The sequence below is a fragment of the Homo sapiens genome, chromosome 6, assembly GCF_000001405.40.
Source record: "Homo sapiens chromosome 6, GRCh38.p14 Primary Assembly".
Lineage (NCBI taxonomy): Eukaryota > Metazoa > Chordata > Mammalia > Primates > Hominidae > Homo > Homo sapiens.
The window spans coordinates 112,872,791-112,879,569 of record NC_000006.12 but is presented as its reverse complement, the minus strand read 5'-3'; positions in this window follow the sequence as shown (position 1 = coordinate 112,879,569).

Below are 6,779 nucleotides of genomic sequence, written 5' to 3'. Positions count from 1 at the left end.
CAATCCAGCTAATAATACCCTTCAACAATATCTTAATGTTTATTATCTTTGATGATAATTTTTTATAATTGTGTCACGGTACATAATTGTTGCTATTGTACTGTTTAAAATAAAGCATTGCAAATTTTAAGACAAAATACCTTTTGTTTTGTTAGTGGACATTTTGTTACAGAAACATTAGCGATGTCTTTTTGTGTCTACATTATAATTTAGTTCAGATCCTTGATCAGTGTCCCTTTAAAAACATAGTATAAGTCTAAACTTTAAATCTTAAGATGTTACCTGTATTAAGTATCTAATATTTTCAAACTGACTGACGTCTTTATTCTGTAGAATACCTTCCAAGATTTTTGTTGTTTATTTTTTATGTGATATACGTAGTTACAATATTAAAGGATATAAAATTTCATAAGAAAGCATAAAAGGGAAAGAAAGGACATGGTAGTTTCTAAAGTGGGAGCAAGAGGAGGAAAAATGAAGAATATAGCCAGAAATGACAAAGAAGTCACTGTCAGATGGAGTACTAAATTGTCTACAGCTTGTGGGAGGCAGTGGAATGGCAGGTATCAAGGTCAGGTGTCCACAATCGTGTATGACACACGGGCCGTTGCTAACTTTAAATAGATTAATGATTGTGACCTTTCAACATGAGACAGTGAGCTTAATTTTTTTAAATCGACGGCAGGTTACATATTCATTTCATCTAAGGTGGTTTTCTGTGTGGCCATTTTTAAAAACTGTAGTTCCATATTATTTTGCTCATGTCCATAGTACAGATATCTAAAAATTAAAAACATATCCAATCTTAACACTAAGTGTGTTTTTCTTTCTTTTCTAAGCAAAAATTAAGAAGATAATAGTACTTTGATGGTGAATGTTGCCCAGGGCTTAGCCAGAAAAAAACAAGTCTTGTGGCACTAGTTGGAGTTACAGCTAGAAGAATGGACTATGCGGGAGGTGAAAGATATTTCCAGGGGACTGTTTATTAGCCTTGCCCTGATGAACATCTTTTTTGCATGGTATTCTAATGTTGCTAGTGTCTAAAAGGTATGTGATCTTTATCTACATTGCTTTGGATTTTCAACATGTGTTATTTTTCTTGGTAAGAATGCTAGAGTTAAAACAAAGGAACAAAACATGCTAAAGCACAAAAATTTGTTCACAAAGGCATCTATACCTCAATACAGAAGTCTATCCATTCTATCCATACATGCATCCATGAAGTTCATTTATGTGTATGTGAGTGGGTATTTTGTCTTAGCAATAGTATTTGCAATAAAAGACACATAAAGTCACAGAATTGCATGTCTTTCTCTTCATGTAATTTTACAAATTTACTTTTAAAATGGTCCCTGTGTTTTCTGTAAGCTAAGGTGATCTTTGTGAGGTTGATGAATAGTCACCAAATGTATTCATTGGCATCTGTTCCCAGAGTGTGTAAGTGCTTGTATAAGACATTTGTATAAGACATTTAATTTTACCCACAAAACAATATGTTACTTTAAAATTAATTGTGCAGGTGTCTTGATTACAAATAGCTCAACTATAGCTTTCATTTCCAATTTTATCTACATATTATCCCACCAAAGGAAATTACCTCTTGAGGTTTCAGAGGGATATCCATTTATTGCTAAGTTTTCTCTAGAGTTGTCTAATTCCATAGTGCCACCAATAGGTTTCTCATGGTACATTTACTGTACTGGTGGCGTTTACATTTGAAATTGGAAACGAGGGTGAATTTCTGATTCTTTTCTACAGTGATCAAATCTATAGTGATTTAAATTTAAATCTTGTTGCTCTAAGCAATACTGAACAAAGAAAAACAAAACAAAATTTACAATTGCTTATTTATACTCCATTTTGCTGAAAGCACTATGAGTGATACAGAGCTATGTAACACAGGACCTCTGAACCCAAGGAAATTCCTCTTAGGCCTGTTGTTCTCGGGAATGTTCTTCCTGGAGACTGTTCAAGAATGCTTTTTTTTTTTTTGAGATTCCAAGCTCTTAGGAGGGAGCTGGTTGGTGACTACACTTACTGAAGGGAGTACTATTCTCAACTCTCTTCAGTGTTCTCATTTTGGCCCATAAAGCAGGGAAGTGCATCATTTAGAAAAGGAAAGTGAGCATCCATGGCTTGTCTTAACTCTCTCCCAGAAAAAGAAGAGAAGTAACTTACCTGACTCATGGGACTAGGAGAAGGAAATGAGCCTGCTCTGCTCTACCCTGAGAGCTCTCTTTTTTCCTGACAGCAAAGTGGTTCTCTGCCCCAGGCAAGCCTTCACAAGACCATCTGAAAGCCATCTCACTCTATCCAGCTACCAGGGTCTGCTGTGTGAGGCAGGTATTTTCTGAGCGTGTGTGTGCTCTGCAGACACCAATCCTTCCTCAAGTGGGTTAGCCCTCAATCTAGATGAGACATAGAGGATAAGGTGGGTCACAGGGCCATAAAAGGCAGATTGTATTTCCACATCTAAGCCAGATTCTCCAAGCCAGCCTTGTCAAGAATAAAGCCAATAAATCTGATTACTACCTCTAATTTTAAAATTTTGTTTGAAATTTAGAGAGTAGAGATAGATAATACGTGTGAATCCTCAAACACTCATGCAACTAAACATCCAGCAATGGAAACTTAGAGTTCTCTACATAATCTACAACTTTTGACAAAGATACATGAACCTGGTAGTTTTTTGTTAATAATAAATTTACACTGGCTTCTCAATGAATAAATATGTCAGAAGACCATGAATTGGTATTCTGAAAGTACTGAAAAAATAAAATCACTAAGCAAGAACTCTGTCCTGTGAGAACATTCTTCCAAAACAAAGCTGTAGTTAAGGCATTTTAAAACAAAAATATGTAAGTTCAGAAAAACTTTATCTCTGGCACATTTTCACTAAAAGATATACCTCAGTCTAAAAAATAATAATAATGTCAGAGGCAAACGTGGAGATAGCGGAAAGAATAAAGAACAAGTAAAATGGTAAATATATGGGTAGACATAAATAAATATTGACTACACAAGTTTTGCTCTTGTTGCCCAGCCTGGAGTGCAATGGCATGATCTCGGCTCACTGCAACCTCTGCCTCCACGTTCAAGCAATTCTCTTGCCTCAGCCTCCCGAGTAGCTGGGATTACAGGTGCCCATCACCATGCCCGGCTAATTTTTGTATTTTTAGTAAAGATGGGGTTTCACCATATTGGCCAGGCTGGTCTTAAACTCCCGACCTCAGGTGATCTGCCCTCCTCAGCCTCCCAAAGTGCTGGGATTACAGGTGTGAGCCACTGCACCCGGCTGGGTCTATTGTTAATATTATATTTCTTATTGGCTATTACGGTAAAAGACAAGTTTTATTTCAGTTAATTCACTCAAATTAATTTCATGTGAATTCAAATAAATTTCAAAGGAGTACATACTACAGTACTAGGGTGAACAACAGAAACCTCAGTAAAACTATTATTTGTTTCTGTATCTATCCTAATAAAATTATTCATCAAAATTATAGTTCAAAGACCTGTCCTGAGAAAAAATTGTTTTAAGTATCTGCTTTCTAGAGTACCCTAACTACTCATAATCAATATTCCCCAAAATTGAAAAAATGCTAATTATATATATTATTATGCTATCATTAATTCATAAGAAGTCTATATGGTTTACAAAATGTATGTGGGGGAGAAAAGGTATAAATCTTTTTTCTATGCCATCTTTGTTCCTTGAAGTAGATGATGAAGTTATATGTTGTTATTCTTTATTTTTGTATAAGCTCCCCCTTCTTCATGCAAGTTTTCTGAGATGAAAATAACTCTAATAGGTCACTATAATCTGTTTCTACTCACTACACTCCTAACACCAAATGTATGGGGTTTTCATCCCACACCAACTAATTCTCCAACTTTCCTGACACCAGCTGGGTATTCAACTAATTCTTACACCCATTACCCAGAATTAGTGCAGACCCCTCCAGTTAAGGGTTCAGTCCTACAATGCTGCCTCTACTTAAATGCCAACTGCAAGTCCTGGGCATCCCATATTTCTGACCAACCAGCAATAAATCAGCTGTGACCTCTTCCTTGGGTTTGATAATTTGTTGTAATGGTTCACAGAACTCAGGAAAACACTTTACCTTACTATTACTAGTTTATAATAAAGGATATTATAAAGAATACAAATGAAAGGCCCAATGAAAATGTATATAGAATGAGGTCCAGAATGGTCCCAATCACAGTAGCTTCTGTCCCCATGGAATTGGGGTTCACAGCCCGCCATCCCTGGCACAAGGATTTTGTTCATCAACCCGGAAGCTCCCTGGACCCAGTACTTTAGGAGTTTTTTATGTGGGTTTCATCATGTAGGCATGGTTGATTGTAAACTCAGTTTTCAGCCTCTCTCCCCTCCCCAGGAGTTAAAGGAGTGGGGCTAAAAGTTACACCTCCCATTCTGAAGCTATCTAGAGGCCTGCCAAGAGTCTCCTCTTGTGAACAAAAGATGCCCCTCCCACTTGGGAAATTCCAAGGGTTTTAGGAGCTCTGTGCCAGAAAGCAGGGACAAAGACCAACCATACATTAACATCACTCATGATATCAAAATGTCACAGTCACCTCTTAGGTTATCACTACTCTCTTTGCCCACAGAAATTTTGAGTAAAAGTATCCTATGCCTCACTCTGTTGACAGATAAAAAATGAGGATGGAAGTGATTATTCCTTGCTGGTATCATTCATATTCTAGATGACGACTGGAGGCCACCAAATAGGCCTTATTTAGTTCAATAGCTGTGTTTCTTCCAGTGGCTGATACACCACAAGTTACTACCGTTTATCCTTTAACTCCTCTAAAGTGTGCTGCTCGGGGCCAGCTCAGTGGGCACCTCTGACCACTGCCATATCTGATGAGGCTTCTAGAGGGGGCAGTTATACATGAACAATTAATCACTGTATTCCTTGCCATCTTTTTCTATGCTGTGTGTCTCCCTCATTTTGTACAAAGTTGGCATTAATGAATGTGCTATTGAACATTCATTGGTTGAATAAATGAATAATGAGTGGAAAAATGAATGAAAATTGAGTTCCAGTAATAGAAGTTCAAACTCCAATTAGCCTGCCACGGACTAGTTTGACATTGGGCAAGAAAGTAAGTGTCTCGTGTGTAAAGTGGGAATAATAATAAAGATGTAAGTAGAAAGAGTATGTTATTTACCACTGAAAATGAGACACTTTTGATTGTGAAAAGGGAGCTAAATATAGAAACTATAAAAATGTTTTAAATGTTTATAAATTGACACACAAAAGGATTTCATTATATTGTGGGTCCCTATAAAGTGGTACTATTTAGAAATCATTTTAAAAATGAAATTATTTCTAGAAAAATTGTTTAAAAATTATAAATATTCATGTACACTATATCAAAATTTAAAAACTTTTTATATTTATTATTTAAACATAAACATTAAGCAAAATAACTATTCTTGATACACTCACATATTTTATCCAATATCATTCCACTTAAGTTTTTTTGAAAAATATACTTTTATTTGATATGATTATGTTTAAATTTTGGATAAAATTGTTAATGCCTTTCATTCATTTTTTTCTATAGTTCATATAAATTGTAATTGTAAAAATTTTTCTTCATAGATGTTGACATGCCTGACATGCTTGGGACAAATTCTGTTAAATGAAGAATAGTCTCAAGACTACATGTTTTGCATTAAAATGTGTATTTATTTTAGAACAACTATTTTGACAAATACTGATTTTAGGTGTGCATTCAGGGTAACTTTCTTATTGATTGATTGATTGACTGATTTCACTTTAACTTCTGGGATACATATGCTGAACGTGCAGGTTTGTTACGTTGGTATACATGTGCCACGGTGGTTTGCTGCACCTATCAATCCATCATCCAGGTTTTAAGCCCCGCATGCATTAGGTATTTGTCCTAATGCTCTCCCTCCCCTTTTCCCCCATCTCCCAACAGGCCCCAGTGTGTGATGTTCCTTTCCCTGTGTCCATCTGTTCTCATTGTTCAACTCCCACTTATGAGTGAGAACATGTGGTATTTGGTTTTCTGTTGCTGTGTTAGTTTGCTGAGGATGATGGTTTCCAGCTTCATCCATGCCCCTGCAAAGGACATGAACTCATTTTTTATGGCGACATAGTATTCCATGGTGTATATATGTCACAATTTCTTTATCCAGTCTATCATTGACGGGCATTTGGGTTGGTCCCAAGTCTTTGCTATTGTAAATAGTGCTGCAGTAAACATACGTGTGCATGTGTCTTTATAGTAAAATGATTTATAATCCCTTGGGTATATAGCCAGTAATGGGATGGCTGGGTCAAATGGTATTTATGGTTCTAGATCCTTGAGGAGTCACTGTACTGTCTTCCACAATGGTTGAACTAATTTACACTCCCACCAACAGTGTAAAAGCATTCCTATTTCTCTACATCCTCACTAGCATCTGTTGTTTCCAGACTTTTTAATGATTGCCATTCTAACTGGTGTGAGATTGTATCTCATTGTGGTTTTGATTTGCATTTCTCTAATGACTAGTGATGATGAGCTTTTTTTTCATATGTTTGCTAGCCACATAAATGTCTTCTTTTTTAATATATTTTTTTATTATACTTTAAGTTTTAGGGTACATGTGCACATTGTGCAGGTTAGTTACATATGTATACATGTGCCATGCTGGTGCGTTGCACCCACTAACTCATCATCTACCATTAGGTATATCTCCCAATGCTATCCCTCCCCCCTCCCCCCACCCCACAACA